General features: G+C 61.5%; 1 protein-coding gene and 1 long non-coding RNA gene across 5 annotated transcripts in view, besides 3 other annotated features; one reads left to right on the forward strand and one right to left on the reverse strand.

The window, feature by feature from the left end:
• ADGRA1-AS1 (ADGRA1 antisense RNA 1) lies at positions 1,522 to 2,975 on the reverse strand. The gene is made up of 3 exons (NR_111905.1): positions 2,767 to 2,975; positions 1,809 to 1,924; positions 1,522 to 1,671 (listed from the first exon to the last, which is right to left on the reverse strand). It is a non-coding gene; the product is annotated as an ADGRA1 antisense RNA 1 (long non-coding RNA).
• Positions 4,202 to 19,722, forward strand: part of ADGRA1 (adhesion G protein-coupled receptor A1) — a 43,752-nt gene continuing 28,231 nt past the window's right edge. The window contains exons 1-5 of one of the 4 annotated variants that reach the window (NM_001083909.3): positions 4,202 to 4,416; positions 4,986 to 5,190; positions 13,252 to 13,379; positions 14,918 to 15,041; positions 18,975 to 19,120. In NM_001083909.3, the coding sequence (NP_001077378.1) occupies positions 5,188 to 5,190; positions 13,252 to 13,379; positions 14,918 to 15,041; positions 18,975 to 19,120 (401 nt within the window). In that variant the 5' untranslated portion in view covers positions 4,202 to 4,416; positions 4,986 to 5,187. Of the gene's footprint in view, positions 4,417 to 4,985; positions 5,191 to 13,251; positions 13,380 to 14,917; positions 15,042 to 18,523; positions 18,617 to 18,974; positions 19,121 to 19,722 lie in introns of those variants that run through there. The other 3 variants (XM_017016779.2, NM_001291085.2, XM_011540273.1) reach the window with 3 other exon arrangements.
• Positions 5,356 to 6,118: an enhancer, noted in NCBI's record as "H3K4me1 hESC enhancer chr10:134902582-134903344 (GRCh37/hg19 assembly coordinates)". NCBI's record gives its function as "activates a minimal SCP1, AML or CMV promoter by ChIP-STARR-seq in naive and primed H9 embryonic stem cells {active_cell/tissue: H9 hESC(naive and primed)}" and the evidence as "EXISTENCE:reporter gene assay evidence [ECO:0000049][PMID:30033119]".
• Positions 14,644 to 15,144: an enhancer, noted in NCBI's record as "H3K4me1 hESC enhancer chr10:134911870-134912370 (GRCh37/hg19 assembly coordinates)". NCBI's record gives its function as "activates a minimal SCP1, AML or CMV promoter by ChIP-STARR-seq in naive H9 embryonic stem cells {active_cell/tissue: H9 hESC(naive)}" and the evidence as "EXISTENCE:reporter gene assay evidence [ECO:0000049][PMID:30033119]".
• Positions 18,223 to 19,198: an enhancer, noted in NCBI's record as "H3K27ac-H3K4me1 hESC enhancer chr10:134915449-134916424 (GRCh37/hg19 assembly coordinates)". NCBI's record gives its function as "activates a minimal SCP1, AML or CMV promoter by ChIP-STARR-seq in naive H9 embryonic stem cells {active_cell/tissue: H9 hESC(naive)}" and the evidence as "EXISTENCE:reporter gene assay evidence [ECO:0000049][PMID:30033119]".

Consider the following 19,722-nt stretch of genomic DNA (forward strand, 5'->3'; position numbering starts at 1 on the left):
CCTGCAGAACCCAAAGCCACAAGATGCAGAGAAACGTGGTCCCCTGGCTGAGGCCTTGCAGGCAACACGGCCCACTCTCTCTGGGTAGGGGCGGGCCCATCCCCCATTGTTCCTTCCCTACGGAGGCAGCAGCCGCAGCTCAGGCCCCAAGGGGGACTGTGGCAGGAGCAGGCGGCCACCCACGGGCGCCCCACATCTCGTGTCCATCAGGACGTCCCCTCAGAGGGAGGAAGCCCACATCCACTACTAAGAGGGCTGAAGGCTCCTGGCGGGAGGCAAGTCTTCGGCCATGGCCCCAGCATTTCGGAGGAGGTCCCAGTGGCCTGCCCAGTTAATGAGGCCAGGTGGCGGCCTGGCCCCTCCCAGAATAGAACCCCAAACTGACCTTTCCAGAAGGGAGGAAGAATCGCAGAGCAGTGGGAAGGGCTGGGGGGTCCCATGCACCCGAGACCCTGTGAGCCTGGGCCTCGGGTGCCAAATAAACAACAAAGCCCTCGAGAGTCGCGCGCCTCAGGAGTGGGGCTCTCGTTGCTGTCGGGCGGCGTCCAGCAGCTGTTTCTTTGGAAGGTCAGTGTTGAAGGCGTTAGGATTTGCGTCAGGAAGAACTGCTCCCACCCCCCTGTGCCAGGCCCACCTCCACCAAGGCCAGCTGGGCTGTGTTCAGACTGCCCGGCCCTCCACAAACCCCTCCGCAAACCCAGCCATTTCTTTTGAGAACATCTTTCCTCCCACAGTGAGGCAGGAGCCACATGCCTGCTTCCGTGTGGACTGTGAGCTGTGTGTTCTTACAGTTTTAAACCATCAGAAAAAGTCAAAAGAAGAATAACCCTTCGTGGCACGTCCATGGATGACGCTTCGTGGCACACAGGCCCACCCCTCGCTGGTGTGCTACCTGCAGTGCCGAAGCCAGCAGGAGGCTGCCCTGATGGAGAACGTGGCTGGAGGGGCTGCGGTGGTCGGCCCTGGGCATCCGCTTGGCAAGGCTGCTGTCTGCAGTTTCCCATCGAGCACTCGTGGAGTTGCTGCTGAGAAAGGGGTGGTGTAGATGCAATGGCCGTGACCAGCACTTGGCCGTCTGCGCTGTAGGCCAAGGAGGCCTGCCTGGGCCCACCTGGCTGCAGCGGGGAGCTGAGCCTCCCTGAGGAGGAAGGAATCGCACCTGGGGCAGCAACAGCAGCTCCTGCCTGGGTCCCTCATGGCCGCGTGAGCCGCTTCCTCACTGTAAAGCTCTTCACCTATGTAACTATGTATCAATGTAAACAGGAACGTATCCTCCGCCTCTGCATCTCTGGTGAATCCGGGCGATACGTGGTGAGACACCTTAATAAACACCTAGATAGACCCTGCCGTGGTGAGCACCTGCCTCCAAGGGGCAAGCACGGGGCATTTTCCTGGCTAGGAATTCTGTCTTTCTCACCACGAGACTCTTCATGGACTTACGTTTTGAAACAGCATGTTTGGGTTTGTTCGGATTTTAAAATTTCATTCTTCTTTGTCTTATTTCCATTTCCTGGTCTTATCTTTTTTTCTTTTGTTTTCCTCTCTTGGGGAGGTAAGAGTCAGGGAGGCAGGCAGCACCCTCACCCGTGTGCCTGCAACATGGTTGAGACGCTTCTCTCCTGCCGGGACTGGAAAGGTGGGCCCTGTGGTCAGCCGGTGCCGCAGCCAACCCTGCAGTCCAGAAAGCAGACGCTTTGCTGATGAACAGTGAGCAGAGGGCCGGGGGCCCAGGGCCCGGGGCAGTGACCTCTGGTGGCAGGGCAAGTGCTGACATCCCCGGGCTGCCGGGCACACGGCCGCCGGCTCACCTGCTGAATGCCACCCAGAGGCCTGCGTGATCCTCCAGGGGGGCAGCTCCTCATCCTGCCACACAGCGCCCGGAGACTTCTGGAACACACAACCGCAAGTGGGGTCTAACCTGCAACTGGAAGAGCACGTGACTGTCTGTGCCTCGGTTTCCCCATCCCACAGGCGTGCCGCCCAGGCCACCATGTGGGACTGTTCAGGAGACAGTGCCCGGTCCCCAGCACCACCCTGGAGATGAGACCTGAAGCAGGTGCCCTCCAAGGGCAGCTCCAGGGAGGGGCTCGCAGAGCAGCGGGGGAGGGGCCCTGGGGGGCAGCTGTGAGTGAGCAGGAGACACCCGGTGCCCCCACCCCTCACAAGGCCGAGCCCCACAGACTCTGCCCAAGGGCAGCTCTGGAACACGTGGCAGTGCCAGCTCCCCCTGGCTCTCTCTCCTTCACCTAGGTTATCACTAGGTGTGGAATGGGGGGGGAGGGGCAGCCCTCCCGGGTCCTGACCACCACGTGCGGGGGCAGCAGGACATTCGCAAGCCAGTGGACCTGTCTGCCTCAAGTGCCGGACCCCAGGGCCCCCACAGCACCTGGTAGCCTTCTGTGTGTCCTACCCGGATACCAGCGGCCTCCAGGGCTTTCCCTTGGACAACCTTTCCCTTTGGAGCCTGTGGGGGCCCAGCCCAGGGCCCAAAACCAGCTAGGACTGAGGTGGGCAGTGGGAGCTTCTCTGGGGCCTCCCAGAGCCTGGCTGGCTCCACCACCTCCCTCTGCCCCCACAGCACCTTCGAGAAGTTCCCCCGCAAAGTCCCCGTGGGACTCAGGGCAGGGCTCCAGTCCGTGTGCAGGGAAAGAGACAAGCCAGGGCCACTCCCCCCACCGGCCGGGGCCTCCTCTGGGCCCCAACTGTGATGTGCCAGGAGCCTCCCGGGAGACACAGGCTGACCTGTGCTCAGTGTGGTACCCTCACCTGGAGCAGTCTCTGTGGTGGGAGCCGCTGGGTGCAGGAGTAAGACGTCAGGGCAGAGCCCATGGGGACCCCCGGCCTGGGGACGTCTGGGGCAGAATCCTCCCCTTGCTGCCCGCTTCTTCCCAGCCCTCTTGTCCAGGACCATCACCCAGGGGACACCAGGGGGGGCTCCGAGGCTCCAAGGGAACGGTGTCCAGGGAGTCAGGGCGGCCAGGTCCTGGGGTGCCTAGAGCGTCTCCAGCTGGGAACTAGACCGTCGCCTGCCTGGACCCTGTGTCCCTCAGCTGGAGTTCAGGGACCAGCACAGTGTCCCCACAGAGGGGCTCTGGGAACACCAGCTAGATGGGGCAGTGGGGCCCTGAGCACATCCCGCTCAAAAGCCCCATAATGAGAGGCCGGGGAAGCGGAACGCTGTCACCCCTGCATCTAATTCTGCCTCTGTGAGTCTTCATGACAACCTCCCAATAGTACATCCTTCAGGCCCCTCAAAATCCATGGCAGCAGGGCCTGGGGACCCCCTGAACAGGCGCCAGTGTCACAGAACCTGGGGCAGAAGTAGCCATGCAAGGGTGGAGGCCAAGGAGGGAACAGGTGGAGGGGTGTGGGGTCACCCAGGGCCAAAGGGGGAACAGGTGGAGGGGTGTGGGGTCACCCAGGGCCAAAGGGGGAACAGGTGGAGGGGTGTGGAGTCCCCCAGGGCAGTTCCTGAGACTCTTGCTGAGGCTGCCACCAGGCCAGCACGTGCCCCAGAAAACGGAGTTTGTGACGAAAACTGGAGTGGACTTGGACCCACCTTGTCGGGTAGGAGGCCCCTTGGGGCAGGATAGGGACCTGTGGGATGTGTGCAGAGCCCAAACCTCGCTGCGGGTGGGAGGCTGGGCTGCGCCGCCCCTGGCACCCTGGCCTCCACACTCGCCTTGGCTCTGGATGCCCAGCTCTGTGGCCCAGGATGCAGGAGGGTTGGGGTAGGGGGACAGGGACGCTTTCTGCACAGCCACAGGCCCTGTCTGTCTACACCGGCTGCGGCTGCCCTGCTGACTCACACTCAGACGGGTTCACGACAGGTGCACCTCGGTTCTGGCATATCTGGACTTGAGAATGTTAAATAAAGGATGGAAAATTCCTTCCAAATCCATTTTCTTGTGTATATTTCTGTTCCTGCAGCTTCTCCACGGATGGAGATTGTCTTTGGGAATAACACAGGGTCGTGCAGTCCGCCCGGCGGCGTTTTCGGGCGAGGGTCTGGTGCTGGGGAGCGAGCGCGGAGCGAGGTGTCTCTTTAAATACGCTCTGCAGTGTGACGGCGGCCGCCCGGCTGGAAGAGCCATCCCCACCCTGCGGCAGGAGCCCGCCCGCCGCCATCGCCCGCCCCGGTCCCCATGGTTACGCGCCTGCCTCCGGCCCCGGGTCCCCGCTGTCGCCGCGGGAGGTGCGCGCAGAGGCGGCGGCGCTGCTGGCCGGGCTGGGCCGCTCGTGCGCGGGGCTGTGACTCACCGGCCGGCGCCGCAGCCCCGCAATCTGTTGATAACTCGGTCCCAGCTCGGCCGCTGCCCTCGCGAATGGAGAGCGGGTCCCCGGCGGGGGGAGCGCAGCGCGTCTGTCTCCGGGAGCGCGGCCCGGCCGCCCCGGCAGCCGCTTCGGCCACAGCAGGTGGGAAGGACGCGCGGGTCTGGGCGGCGGGAGGGACGCGCGGGGCCGCGGCTCGGCAGAAAAGCTCGCGCCCCGAGGTGACACTGGCCGCGAGGAAAGCAGCTCCGAGTAACTTTCGGCTCCGCTGGGGCGGGAGGCGCCACGGATAATCCAGGGCCCCCGCCCCGCGCGCCCGGCCCGGAGCTCGAGCCACATCCAGGCAGAGCAGGCGCCGCGGCCGGGCTGGGGCGGGCGGGTCACTCGGTGCCGGTTCCCGGTGCAAACCCCCCGGCGCGCCTCTGGCTTTGTGCAGCCCGAGATGGTTGAGTTTGGCTCCGGAGCCGGGAGTGGGGCGCAGATTGATTTTTAAATATGGAGAAGGAGACGCATCTGCCGCTGGCGCGTTCGGTCCGAGCCCCCCACCGGTCCCCACCGGCACCGCCTCCGCCAGCCCCAGGCGCAGCCCCCAGGCCGCCCGCGGAGGGGAGGGAGCGACAGGGGCCGCGGCTGCTCCCTGGCGGGGTCGGGGCTGCGAGCTGCCCTCCGCGGGGACCCTCCGCCCGCCCCGCTGACCGCCGCTGTCTTCACAGATGGGAGCAGCTCCCGGACTGCGCCCGCCCCGCCGCGGTCACCCTGAGGCCAGGGGCCCGGGAGCGCGACCTCCTGGCCGCCGTCTGGGACTTTGACCTTCCAGAGGCCATGGAGGCTGGCGGGGAGCAGGGCGCCACCTGATCGCCTCCCCCTGGACGCCTCCTCCAGCGGCGCTCACGCTTCCGCAACTTTGCAGCGCTCATGGTGAGTACGGGGGTCCCGGGGGTCCTGCAGCTGGGGGCTAGGCCGCTGCGGGGGGGCGGCCACCCGTATGGGGACTCCCAGGCTGGAAAAGTTGTGGAATGGCGAGCTGGTGACCGGGCTTCCGGGCTCAGTGCCGGGGTGGGAGGCTCTGTGGAGTGGGGGCCGGGGACAGGCCGCGTGTCTGGGCACCTCTGCTCCCCGCGTGCTGGGTGCTGATCATACTAATGAGTTGCAGGCATATGGCAATGTGGAATCATTTAATCAATGGAGGCGACGTCCCTCCCGCAAAGCTGGCATCCGTGCCCTGTGAAAACCTGGTCTGTGCCTGGGCTGGGGTCCCTGCCACCCCAAGCCCCTCCACCCTGGTCACCGGCCTCCTCCACGCCACCCTGCCGGCCCCTTCCCATTAGAAAGTTGATGAAAGGCAGTGCGGACAGACGTAGGTGGGCTTCAGCAGTGGAGGCTGTGGCGGAGAGAAGGCGGCCGCGCACACGGCAGGCACGGGAAGGGTGTTTCAGCGGGAAGGGGCTCGTGGCTGGCAGCTGGCTGGATCGGCTAGCCGAGCCCATCGTGGGTCCCTCCCTGAGGCACCAGCAAGCTTTTGCTGCAGTTGCTGAATGTCTGGGTTCCGGAAGGGCTGACAGCTGAGTGAACAATGCATTGTGTGTGCTGGTAAGGGACAGCTGACAGGCGGTGAGGACCCAGGGCACGTGCAGAGAATGCCAATGGCCTCTAGAATGTGCGGCCGCCACAGACGCCGGCTGGCGTGCTTCGGAGCAGACCCAGTGTTCGCTGCATAAGGAGCCATCGGTCTGAGTCACTTGCTCATTTTCTTCTTGTTCCGTTCGAAATGTCCAAGCAAGAGAGATGCCTTTGCCAACATTCAGTATCGTCTTCCAGTGGCTGCTTCACCTCTGAGGCTGGCTGAGGTCTCCGCACTTACCTTTCAGACACCTGACAAGGTTGCGTCTCCAGCACCAGCAGCACCTCAGGGGGCAGCAGGCCAGCCCCAGGGCTCCTGCCTGCCCCCAGGCTCCCACCAGCCTCAGGAACCATCGCTGTTGCCCCGCAGGTACCACACCCAGCGCAGCCCCAGGCCTCCCAGTTGGCAGGATCTGTGGCTTTTCAGCCTCAAATTGAGACCCTTATTTGCAAAATGGAAAACTGTCATTGACAGAGGACAGTGAACGGAGAAGGGCTTCTGAAGGTGGGGGTGCTGCCGCAGCCCGGGGGTCCCTCTCATCCCCTTCCTCGCCTCCTCCTCTCTAACCCTTGGCCCTTCTGCGAACAACTGTGCGGGGGCCTCCCCAATCCAAGAAGGGCACCACCCCTCGCAGGCTGAGCCTGTTCGTGCACTCTCCTCTCAGCTCCTGGCTCCTGGTGGAGCTTCCTGCTACCACCTCCTCGGCCCGGGGCCACCCGGTCCCAGCCGGCCTGGCAGCCCAGAGCTCCTGCTCACCCAAGACTGTGAAAGCCTGCTGAGCTCGATCTGCCTGGAGAGTGTGGCATTTCAGCAGCTCACTGTTTTTATTCACAACAAGTAACATTTGCACCTGAGAAAATCTCTGAAAGTGTGAGGAGTTGCCCTCCCGTGCTGCATCAGTCTGGTGCAGCATTTTTCTGCATGTGTCTCCAAGTTCACAGCGTAGTGTGACAGCGTAATTCACAGCACGTGTCTCCAAGTTCACAGCGTAGATACCTGGGCAGGCTCACCCCATGGCCATGGGGTCTTGAGAAGGAAGCCTGGAGGCCGTGGCCAGGGCAGGGTGGCCCTGACTCTGCCTGCCCCACTGCTGTGCTCTGGGGGGCTCCTGACGCCTGCCAGGGGCAAGCTGCCTGCTGAGCTCCCAAGTGTAAGGGCATAGGGCACAGGTCACAGGTCAGATTCTTTGGTGGCATCGCTCCTGGCCAGGCACAAAGGCATGAGTCAGCCCTGGATTCTGAGCTGCTGTCCAGCAGCTTGGCTGGGCCAGGCCGTCCTCTCAAAAGGCTGGTTTGTCGGCCCATGGTGCTCTACAGGATGGACAGTTTGCTCCCCTCTGGAGGACCTGCAGGCCACCTGTCCAGTGGTTAAAGCTGGGGCACCTCCTTCTGCAAGCTGTGTCTCCGTCACCACTGTTAACGAGCAAAAGCAAATGTGAACTTGCCTGTCTCCGCAAGGGGTGCTATCAGGACTTACGTTCCAGCAGGCTCCGAAATGAAATAGGTGTCACTTCGCACCCTGTAACTTGCAGTCCTCACACTTAACTCAGAGAACAGTTGTTCTCGAGGGCCTGAATTTGAGGCTGAAAAGCCACAGATCCTGCCAACTGGGAGGCCTGGGGCTGCGCTGGGTGTGGCACCTATGGGGAAACACCTGCAGGGTTGGATGGTGTGGCTGGTGCAGTGTGGTTGCCGTGGGATGGGCGGTGTGGCTGGTGCAGTGTGGTTGCCGTGGGATGGGCGGTGTGGCTGGTGCAGTGTGGTTGCTGTGGGATATGGTGTGGTGTGAAGATGTCGTCTGGCCCTCTGTGGCTACTTTCATTCCACAATTGCAATATTTAGGTGCAGCTGGGAGCATGAGCTCATCGTCCCTTCAGGGTTCAGGCCCTGTGCCGATGGCACCATTGCCTGGTTAGCATCTGTGTTTCTATGTGGTCATCTGTGAGCTGCCAGCTTTCTGTGAGTAGGGTGGAGGCTCTCAAAGGGGACTCAACCGAGCCCCTTCCAGCTCTCAATTCAGGGCTGACTCTTGGTCATCAGAGGCGCTGTTTGCTGCACCCTGCATGTTCTCAATGCCGGGATTGAGTGCGAGGACAAGCTTGGGCTGGGGGACCCCAGAGACCTGGTGTGTGTAGGGAGCTCCTTGGGTCTAACACTTCCTTCCCCAGCTTCTGAAAGGACAGAGTGCCTTCGAAACCTCCAAGGAGACGAGGCGGGTAGCCAAAGGGTGAAGACCTCCAACCGGAGGGTGACAGGCCCAAGGTCAAGGCCAGCCTCCTGGCGGTGCCCCCAGGAAGGGGAGTCTCGGAGGCCGAGAGTGAGGAGGAGCCTGCAGCTGCTCCCCGAGGCCGGACCCATGTGAAGTCCGCCCTGAAGAGAACCAGGATCGGGTCCTGGCCCAAAGGCAGGTTGTGGGAGACTCGGAGCTCTGAGTTGTTAGGAAGTACGTGAGCCCACATGAGGTGGGTTTATCTCTGCTCAAATTTTACCCCTTGGCCTCTGCCAGGAATGGGCATTCAGGAGGTGGGAGGGGCCCGGGACGCAGGGCCTCTCACAGGGCGTAAGGATGGTCGGTCGCGCGTACGAACATTTCAGAGCTATACTGAGTTCTTTTCAGCTAGTTGTTTTTTAGTCTAATATCTAAATTACTAAAAATGGCTACAGTCTACTTCCTTCATCTCACAGATGGAGAGTTTGTCATCCCACCTCACATCTTCCCGAAAATTAAGAACTTTAAGCAAGTAACTACCAGTCTAGAAAGAAAGCGTCTATGATATTTTAACACTTTTTTCCCAAATCTCTTCAAAACTTCACTAGCCCATCTACTCCTCCAAGAAGAAAATCATAACGCACCTTACAAACGTAATGCCGACTATGGGTCATCTGTGTTCTGGAGGAATAAATTCTTCTCCTCTACCTTCCACCTTTCCCCTGGAACACATCCATGAAAAGTTGACAGATCAGTAGATGCAATTATTATTTAAAAGGCAGACAAGGGAATACATCAGGCTCTCAGGAAATCAGTGTTCATTGGCACAGAACCAGGAAGTAAAACAGGGAGAACCAGAAAAAACAAGAAAGAGAAACAGGAAGAACCAGGAAGAAGCACCTGAATGAAGAAGGAGAAATAGGGAGGGAGGAAGGAAGGAAGGAAGGAAGGAAGGAAGGAAGGAAGGAAGGAAGAGAGGGAGGGAAGGGAGGGAAGGAAGGAAGAGAGGGAGGGAGGGAAGGAAGGAAGGAAGGAAGGAAGGAAGGAAGGAAGGAAATGAAGGGAGCCTGAACCTGGAAGAAGGAGAAGGAGGACTGGAAGCACCTGGGAGGATATGTGTTCCTTCCTCAGCCAGTTGGAGCTGCAGACCTGGCCCCGGACACCTCACCGTGCAGGAAAGAAGGTTCCTCAGCCAGTCGGAGCTGCAGACCTGGCCCCGGACACCTCACTGTGTAGGAAAGAAGGTTCCTCAGCCAGTTGGAGCTGCAGACCTAGCCCCGGACACCTCACTGTGCAGGAAAGAAGGTTCCTCAGCCAGTCGGAGCTGCAGACCTGGCCCCGGACACCTCACCCGCAGGGAGGAAGATTCCTTCAGGCAGCTGGCATTCCCCAGGTTTGAAGAGGTCACTTTCCCACCTCTCACTGCTGCAGAAAGGTTAAGTTTTGATCAGAAAATTCACACATAACTTGACCGACTGCTTCCTTCTCATCTTTCCTCCTTTGTTTTTGTCTTTAACACCCTGACCCACTTGATTTGCAGAACACACCAAAGAGGAGACCTCCAATTAAAATGAGGGAAAACAGAGGAGGAAGTTATGACTAAAGAAAGAGGAGACACAAATAAGCCAGAGCACGAGTCCCACGCACGCCGGGCTCACACGCTGGCGGGACTGTTGGCTCCGAGGCCGGCAGATGGGAGATGGATGCCCGCCTTCCCCAGGGAAGCAGAGACATCTCTGGGTGCCTTCTAGAGCAACCTGGGCCATCCTGCGGGCACAGAACCAAGCTGGCATTCCGGCCATTTCATCTGGGCCAAGAAGGTCGGGGCCACCTTCATCCGCCCCTTCCCAGCCCCCTTGGGTCCTCGGAACCGTGTTCTTCACCCCCCAGGAGCCTGGCTGCATTGCGAGCCGAGGGTCCAGGAACTCTGCTTCTGACTTGCTGGCTCACCCCTGTCAGCCAGGCTCTGTTCAGCCACAGATCAGACCAGCAGGCCTGGGGAACACTTGCAAAGAAGAATCGGTGCATGTGCAAACTTTAAAAGACAACACACGTCTCCACTGCACATGACCCACTTTGAGTTTTAAATGTCACCTCTGAAAATGTAGACAGGCACTGTTGATAACTGTAATTTGGAGACAAGAAAAAGAAAAGAAACCAAACCAAATCACACATCTGTTTCTTATAAAACATCTTGTTGACACACGGATCATTGCACAGGTGAGGACCATGGCCCAGGCCTCCAGCTCACGCGGCAGCTCCAGGCGTCCACGCCTGCCCTTGCCGCCTCAGTCCGTGTGAAACCTCACAGCTTGGCCTTCAGACGAGAAGCCCCACACAAGGCGGCGTGGCCCTCGCTGTCACTGGAGCTTGGGCGGCCTCCTCCCAGCGCAGCCTGCACCTTGCACTCGCGCCCTGAGACGTTTGCCTCTTGCATGAAAAGCAGCTCTGATTGGGCTTAACATGAAGGGGTTTGTGTTTGTGACTAAAAGCCACAAACGGGAGGCTAAGTCTCCTTCTGGCCCTGAGGATGGAGGCAGCGGGACAGGACGCGGCTCGCAGGCACCAGACATCAGGGCACACACTTTCCTGGCTGCCATCTGCGCCTCCGCCCACAGTGGCACCGCCCCTCGCCCCCGTAGCTGAGCAGGAGTCTGAGTCCTGCAGGAAGGCGCGGCGGCCACAGCAGCCCCAGGGAGGCCGTGAGAGGACGCGTGAGGGCCCGGGGCAGACCACCCCAGGCTCTTCAACACAACAGATGAGAACGAAGTCCTTGTTCCAGGCGACTCACTGAGGAAATGCTCCGATAGACTCGGAGAGGGCTGGACACAGAGTGGACCCCACTCTCTTGGCTTCTCTCGCGGATCTGGGTTTGCAACAATGGCTCGTCGGAACTGTGTAGAGCGTTCAGGTTTATTTTAGACCCTGGGTCAATGTCTTGGAGGAAAAGCCATTGACTCTCGTGGAAGAATCCTGGGGACAAGAATCTGGGGCGTCGCTCACGCCCTGTTAAAACTTCAGTTCTTCTACCCACATGGGGCATTCTCCACCTCCCAGCAGCAGATAACTCACTGGATAACCTGATGTCGGGATTTGGCCGGGAAAACATGCTTTTCTGTGACTTTGGAGCTGTTTGCACGTGGCAGGAAGTGGGCGCCTACTAAACCAGCAAACGTGGGACAACCAGCCTGGCACCGCCCGAGCCACGCCAGAGCCCCCATGCATCGTCTCCTGATGGCAAGCACTCCAGTAGCCAGAACACCAAGGAGGGACGTGCGAATGTCCACAGTTGGCCGGGCTGTCCCTGGGCTGATCTCTGGGGGAAGCAGGAGCCCCAGCTGGAGCTCGGACCGGACACTCACCCCACGACTGTTGCAGGAGGCAACTGACGCTTCGGGCTCTGGGGCACTCAGGAGAATCTGGACAGAGGCCCACCCAGCTCACCTCTTTACAGAGGGGCAGAGTGAGGGTGGGGCTCTCCTGGGCCCTGACTCCCCCGAAAACCCTCAGGGGCCTCTGTCCAGGGTGGGCCTCAGAGCCAAGCCTGAACCACAGGGCGCTGTCTCTCTGTGGGGTCCTGGTGTCCAGGAAGAAATGGGCAGATTCTAAACACTCCCCGGAAAGCAAAGTGTCTGCTGTCACTCCAGCTCTGCGGCCCCACAGCGACGCCCGCTCCTCTCCCAGGTGCCTTCGCCCTCGCACAGGTCCAGGCTCCTCGTCCCGGGATGCAGGGCCCCTCCGGTGCCCGCCTGGCCAGTGCTGTTCGAACCCTGGGGCAGGGGCCCTATTTCGGGCTTTGACTGTCAGCCAGTCCCTTGGCTCCCCAGAGCACCCTCTGTCCACGGTGGACACTCTCTAGCCAGCCAGGGCCTCGTCTTGGCTGGACGGACAAGAAGTGTGGCCTCAGGAGGGAAGCAGGAGCTCTCGGGCCCGCTGGCTGCCTGCATCCCGACACAGGTGACACTGCCTCTGCCCATGGCCCTTCCTGCACAGGAGGGTCCCTCTCCACTTCCCGCCTCACTCAGCCGGAGCCATCCCAGAGGCCCGGCCGGCTGCCTCCTCCTGCCCCGATGCCCAGGGCAGCATCCATGGCGTGGTCAGAGTGGCTGGAGCCTGGCACAGGTGCAGCGATCACCAGGGGGCTGGGGAGGGGCCAGGCGGCTGCAGCCCTCACCCCTGCTGGCACCCACCCACAGGGTTCTTACCGGAACATGGCACCCACCCTGCTCGCCTGCCTGAGGTTCATAACTAAACCCTACACAGTGGGGCCCTGAAGCACAGACATGTTTCCCACAGTCTGGAGGCTGGAAGCCTGAGACAGAGCTGAGTGCAGGCTGGTGCCCCGAGGCCCCCTCCTGGGCCTGTGCACGCATGTTTCTGGGCTGATGCCCCTGAAGCCCCCTCCCCAGCCTGTGCACCCCTCTGTGCTTCCCCGGTGAGCTCACCTCACTCACCTGATGAAGAAAAGATGAAGCTCCATCAGCTCCAAGCCTTTCCAGCTGGGTCGATTTTCCCCCAGTCTACTCTGCCACAGAGAACACACATTCCCCTTTGAACTCTGACCCTGAACCCTTTTCTTGGGCCGAGAAGCAGGTGGAGTTTGCGGCCTCCGGTCCAGGTCTGTTGGTGCCGAACAGTCTCCACTCTTTCTCCACCTCTCGCAGAAGCTCGTACAGAATCCTCCCGGAAGATGTTGACAAGCAGGGTTTCGATGAGTGTGGGGCTCCCAGTGCAGGGCTGGGGCCATCCCATGGTTTCCCTGCCTCTCTGTAAGGCCCATCCAGATCCCACCTGGCCACCCGCAGGCCACGGGAAGAGAGGAGGCTGGAGGCAGGCATCAGTCGGCCGATACATGGCCCCAGGAGCCAGCCTCAGAGCCACACAAGGATGCCTTTGGCCAGCAGAGCCAGTGGAGGGCGAGGACAGACAGCACTCCGTGGCCACGTGGGGCCCCTCCCGTGCACTCCCTGAGCATCCACAGACGCAGCCTGACCGTACCTCCCCAGGCAGCCCCCCTTCCCTGAGACCCCACACGAAAATGCCTGGAGCGGCTGCAGGGGAAGCCGAGCCCCAAGGGTAGGCTCAGGCGACGGCGCCGCCCACACAGACCCACCAGCCAGTCACACACGTCTCCTTTGCTTTATCCTCAGGATCTGAAGACAGTGCTCTCCCTGCCCCGCTACCCAGGGGAGTTCCTGCACCCCGTGGTGTACGCGTGCACGGCCGTCATGCTGCTCTGCCTCCTGGCCTCCTTCGTCACCTACATCGTGCACCAGAGGTGAGCCTGGCATGGGCAAGGGCGCCCCCTGTGCCCAAGAAACCTGCTTTTACCTTCAAAGGCAAGTCCCTGAAGGGCAATGCCACTGCCCCCTCATGTAGCAAGAAGTCCTTGAAGGTACAACTCAGGTCACCAGCTAGCTCAGACCCGCTCAGCAGCCTGGTGCCCATCACACAGCCGAAGGGTGGATGGAGCTCAGGGAAGCCGCGCCTGTCCACTCAGGCCTCCGTCAGGGTCTTCTCCACGGCATCCCCCGTGTCCTTAACTGGGCAAAATAAGTTCTTCCAGAAATAGGTGTGGTGTCCGTCCAGGCACCCTGAGGAGCTCAGTTCCCCCGGGCAGTCACTATGGCCTGCAGAGCCTGGGAGAGGCACCAAGAACATGAGGGTGTCCAGCCGCAGTCAGGGTGGGCATGCCCACAGCCAGTCATGGGCGGGGGTTCGGCTATGTCTGAGGCCAAGGTCGCCTCGGTCACGGACAGAGCTTAGAGGCGCCCAGGGCCACAGTCTCATCAGAGACTCGGGCACACACGAGGCTGTGATCACAGGAAGAGGCTTGGGCGGTTCCGAAACTGTCATCTTGGTCTGTTTGGGCTGCTGCAGCAGAACACGGGGGCCTCGATGGTTTATCGACAGGAGAAACTGACTTCTCAGTTCTGGAGGCCGAGGTCCCAGATCAAGGCACCCATGACGCTGTGTCTGGTGCGTCTGGAGAGGGCCAGCTCCAGGCTCACAGACGGCACCCACTGCCTGTGTCCCTGCCTGTGTCCCTGCATGTGGAGGGTGAGGCACTCTGGGGGCCTCTTTCTCAAGGTCCCTGATCCCATCACCACAGCTCTGCCCAGAGGCCCCCGCTTCCAAATATCATCAGCTTGGTGGTTAGTGCCGTCCTACCAACTCGGGGGGAGGCAGATAAAATACATTTAGACCAGAGTGGCTGTGATTATGGGGAGAGGATGAGGCGAGGCCATGGCCAGAGTCACAGTGGCCACCATGCAGCCATACCTGTGCTGGCCACAGCCTGGGCGGGTCGGGCCCCAGACATGGTGGTGGTCATGGAAAGGGTCACAGCCACAGGAGGGCATGGCCGGCTCAGCCCCAGGCTATAGCCGGGGTCACGCTGAGCCAGTCTAATCACGGTCTCTTCCTGATGTGCCAGACACCTGCTCAGAGGGACACCCCATGCTGGGACCCAGGGGGTGCGGCCTCTATCTCTGAGACAGTGTGTGGCCAAGTCCTGGAGTCTCAGGGCCTCGGTGTCTTCATCCGCCAAGGGATTAGGTTGTTCAGGCTTCTGCAAACCCCTTCCAGCGTCAGTGTGCCAGGGTGACGTAAGGCAGAACTTTCCAGTGGCCGTCACTCAGGGCAGACTCGGACGACCCATCTGCTCTCCCCTGACCGGGTCCTCGGACAGCTGCCCCTGACCCCACGGAGAGCCCGGACTTCCCGGGGACAGAGCCTGCGCCCCAGGGGGCTCCCTTCCACGCCTCCCCCTGCAGAGCCTCTGCTCATGTGAAACCCTCCTTTCCCGTCCCACAGCGCCATCCGCATCAGCCGCAAGGGCCGGCACACGCTCCTGAATTTCTGCTTCCACGCGGCCCTGACCTTCACTGTGTTCGCCGGCGGCATCAATCGCACCAAGTACCCCATCCTGTGCCAGGCGGTGAGTGCCGGGGCGCCCTCGTTGGCTCCTCCCAGAGGGGAACTGCGTGAGCGTCGTCTTGTTTACTAAATAATATTCCAGCGTTTGCTCAGCTATTTCCCGGGAAGAGGGTCGGACCCTGGCACATCGGTGTCTCGGCTTCACGCCATGCAAGTCCACATGCTCCACGTTTGACCCCAGGGTTGATTCCACTGCACCGCCCCCTCCAGGCCGGCGCTAACCTGACACTTACTGTCCCCAAAAGGTGCACTGCCCGGGAACAGGGACACAGCCTGCCCCTCCCGGAGAAAGTGCTGGGGGGACACAGCCCGCCCCTCCCGGAGAAAGTGTTGGGGGGACACAGCCCACCCCTCCAGGAGAAAGTGCTGGGGGGACACAGCCCGCCCCTCCCGGAGAAAGTGCTGGGGGGACACAGCCCGCCCCTCCCGGAGAAAGTGCTGGGGGGACACAGACCACCCCTCCAGGAGAAAGTGCTGGGGGGACACAGCCCGCCCCTCCCAGAGAAAGTGGTGGGGAGACACAGCCCACCCCTCCCGGAGAGAGTGGTGGGGGCAGCTCGAGGAGGGGCACACACTCCGGTCCAGGGAGGAACCTGCAGATGCTGCCGCCTGAGTCACCAGGAGGGCAAGCTCGTCCTTTGCACAGACCCCCCAACCCCCGGAAGCCAAACAGAAATGTCACTCGGGGAACCCTCCTCCCCCACTGCAGGGAGAGCTGGAGAGCACCGAGCATTGAAAAGAACGACACACAGAAGGGCTCCTCACATCCGGGGGCCCAGCCTGACCTTGGTTTAAAAGGGGGGACGTATACATCACACTCAGTTCCTGGCAGAGCTCATGGTGGAGACCCTTACATCAAAACTAAGCCCTGTCCTCCTCCACTTTGGGCTGTGGCTCATGGCCAACAAGAGGACCTGCCCGGAGCCTCTGTAGCCACAGCTCCGGGGCGGCTCCTCCCCGCACACCCAGCCCAGTCCCAGTGGCCACCCCACTTCAGCAGCCACACAGCCCAGTACAGTCACCTCCAGGGCCCAGACACAGCCAGGGGGCTGCCACGGACTGCAGGGCAACTTGCCAGGGGTCCACCCTGCAGTTTCTGGAACCCTCCCATAGTACCTGGCACTGACATGCACCTGCAGACAGCAGTGGTGGAGACTCATGCAGGGGTGTCTGGGGAGAATCTGAGCTGAGTGCACAGAACCCCCCAGACTCCCCCACAGGCTCCCACACCTGCCTGCCACGGCCACGGGCTTCCTTCCTTCCCAGCACTACACTTCCGTGTGCCAGGCTGGGACGGGCCGGGCAGGCGCTCACACAAACACAGGGCCCTGGCGTCCGGCACGCAGAGGAGACGTCATGTCTGTGTGACCACACTTCATGCCAGACTGCCAGGAGGCCGTGCCCCCGGCCTGGGCCTGGGCCTGGGCCCAGCATGGCCCCGGCGGAGGAGTCGCTGGCACGCACCTGAAGGTGGCTAAGGTCAGACGTACCTCCTGCCTCCTTAATCATTCCTCTGGTAAGCTGGAAACAACCACAGCAAGTGCCCGGGAAACGCCATTGACGTCCCGCCTGTAAGTGCCTGCGAGAGGCCGTCACCATCACGTCTGCACTTTGCCACCAAGTACGCCCCACACTGGGATGAAGCCTGCTGGATCCGCGGGTGAGGCCCCCCGAGGGCCTTCAGCAAACCCCGCCCGCGCCTTCGGGAACACCTGCCACTGCTTGCCTGGACGGAGCTCCTGGGGCCCAGGCCTGCGGTGACAGCTCGGGGCGGATGCTGGGGTGTTGGGGCTGCAGCAGGCAGGTCTGGAAGGTTCCAGAGGGTTGCAATCTTGGAGGAGATCTTGTTAAGGCAACAGCCATCAGGAGGAAATGAGCAGAAAAGATTGTGGCCTATCTCCAGATGCTGTCCTGATCTCCCAGGGAGCACGATCCACTCACTCGCTCACTCAGCAAATGTGCTGAGGGCCTGCAAGGTGCCAGGCCATGCTGTGGGCACTAGGGCACTGCCAGAGACAAACCCACATGGTCTCACTGTGAAGCCGCGTTCCAGAACAGGACGCAAGTGTGGAAAATGAACCGTGGGAGCATTTTCCCACGGCAGGTGGTGGGAGGTGCCTGCCGGACGCGTGACGCCAGGCTCGGGAAGCGGAGGCAGGGGCCGCAGTGGCTGCAGCTCCAGAGCCACTCGGGGAGCCCACAAGGCGACGTTCTCCGAGCTCCCCGATGAACTGTCTGCTCCCCGTGCTCTGCGAGGCGAACAGAAGCCCTCTCATTGATCTAACGCTGAGGCCAGGCCAGTTCCGCATTCCCGCCTCCGGGTAAGGAGGAGAATTCAGCCACTACCGGCTGGAGGAAGGAGACCTGAGGGTCTAGTAAAAACTAGACTTGGAGCCCAACCTGCCTGCATATGGGCCAGTGGTGGCTGATCCGCCTTCCCGCCTGCCCCGCCCTTGTCACACCCACCTTCCTGCCCGCCTGCCCCGCCCACCGGGGCCACAGCTCAGCACTGAGTGAAACCTGGTCCCAGGCTCTGGATGGCTGGAGAGGACGGACTGTTGCTATGGCAACAAAGAGATGGCCGTGAGCCCCATTCGCATGCTAAGTGACACATTCAACAGAGACAGGCGCTGGCCCTGGGTCCGGCGGGGTGGGGCAGCCGTGCAGCACCGTGGGACGCTGGTGGCTTCCCTGCAGCCTCTCCATCTGTCCAGCCTGAAGTCGGTGTCCAGGACTCAGAGCTCTGCCACGTACACCTTCTTGTGACCCCCAAATGCACATGGCACGGGTGAGGCTCAGCTCTGCCACCCTCCTCAGCGCCCCGGGCAGTGACACTGACAGCCCCACGGCTGCTTCCTGAAAAGAAAGAACCCGAGGCCGGGCTGTGGGGGCTGCCTCTGCCCTACTCCTCGACACGGTGCCCCATGGTTTCCAGGCCTCCCTGTCTCCACCAGGCTGCATGAGGCCTAGGCACTGGGATGGGACACGACCCCACACTCAGTGGCCAGGCCGGGGGAAAGGGTGGAGCCCCCCGGGGGCTGCTGTGTCTCCTGCCCCCAGCGGCGCACAGGGATCTCACCTGAAACTGCAAACGCAGCCCTCCGATCTTTCCAGCCCACCCCACAATATTCTCATCAATTACTGCAGAGCCTCCTCATCAGTGAAAATTGAGCTCTGGATCTGATAAATCATCATAATGGTGCGACGTTAGCTTTATGCGGCGAATCTCTGTATTCCTTAAACATTTATGTCCTTTCCAATTATAGCAGTATTTTACCTGTCATTTCAAAATGTCAGGTTATTACTCCAAAGGTAGCAGTGTGGCCCTCGTAATAAGCAAACGCAGGAAGTTTCCATAGCAATGAGGAACGGCGACCTGCAGGGCCACACGAATGCCGGCCCCGTGGGGGGCTCATCCCACCCACAGTAAGAGCATCCTGGTGAATGAGGAACGGCGACCTGCAGGGCCACACGAATGCCGTCCCCGTGGGGGGCTCATCCTACCCACAGTAAGAGCATCCTGGCGTGACCCCACTGAGGACTTCACCTCCTCTCCCTTGGTGGACACCTATCCAGGTCTGAGCTCAGGGGACGTTGGTCTGCAGCTCACAGTGTCCGTGCCTGGGCCACAGGGACCACAGCGGGTTGTGCATGCAGAGGGGCGTGAGTGCACAGGCCCATGGGTCCCCACAGACTCCCTGCTCCCGTCTCTGTGCAGAAGGGGAGGAAAGCTGAGCCGCTCAAGGGTCTCTGCAGCTCAGCGTCTCCCTGTGAGTTCTGGGCGGCTGTGGGGCGGCCGCTGCCTGCCCTGGGATACAGACGCTGCTGGCCGCCTGCCGTTCTCATTCTTGAAGTTGCAAGCCCGGGCCGAGGCTGCTGGGCTCTGGGGGGTGGGTGCCCGCCAAGGGCCTGGCTGACCGCTGCTCCCCCACAGGTGGGCATCGTGCTGCACTATTCTACACTGTCCACCATGCTGTGGATAGGAGTGACCGCCAGGAACATCTACAAGCAGGTGACCAAGAAGGCCCCTCTGTGCCTGGACACAGACCAGCCACCGTACCCCAGGCAGCCCCTGCTCAGGTACTGAGTGCACATGGGCGCGAGGCCCCGCCACCTGGGCCCTGGACGCTGCATGCACCTTCTGGGTCTTGGCAAACCTTCTCACCAGGCCACCAGGGGCCTGAGGATGATCCGGTCCATGGGGGAGGGTCAGTGTTCCCAGGGAGGGTGGAGAGCGGGCGACGGATCTGAGGGTAGGGTGGTGTGCTGGAGGGGAGGGGCGCCGGAGGGGAGGGGCGCCGGTCACTGGGGGTGGGGCAGAGGGGGCCCTGAGGGTGGAGGGTCCCGGGTGGAGTCTGAGGCAGGCGGTGCCCTGCCCTCCACATCTGCAGCTGGAGCCCGGCTGCTCTGGGGCTGGTCTGGGGCTGGCGTGTGTTGGGGGCTGGACAAGCCTCCTGTGCTACCGAGTTGCTGGCGTGAGACCCTCTATGCCCCGCAGGGCAGCCACACTGGGGAAACGGGCTCTGGTGGTTTTGGCTTCGGCTTCATGGTCTCCGTAACATCAGGCAGCTGACTGTCAGCGGGTGGAAAACCTCACACACTCAGGCACTCATTTCAAGGTGGCCCTGGCCTGGGCCCTTCAGGCCAGGAGGCAGGTGTGGTCCCCCAGTGTCTCTGCTGTG

Source organism: Homo sapiens, chromosome 10 (genome assembly GCF_000001405.40).
Source record: "Homo sapiens chromosome 10, GRCh38.p14 Primary Assembly".
Taxonomy (NCBI): domain Eukaryota; kingdom Metazoa; phylum Chordata; class Mammalia; order Primates; family Hominidae; genus Homo; species Homo sapiens.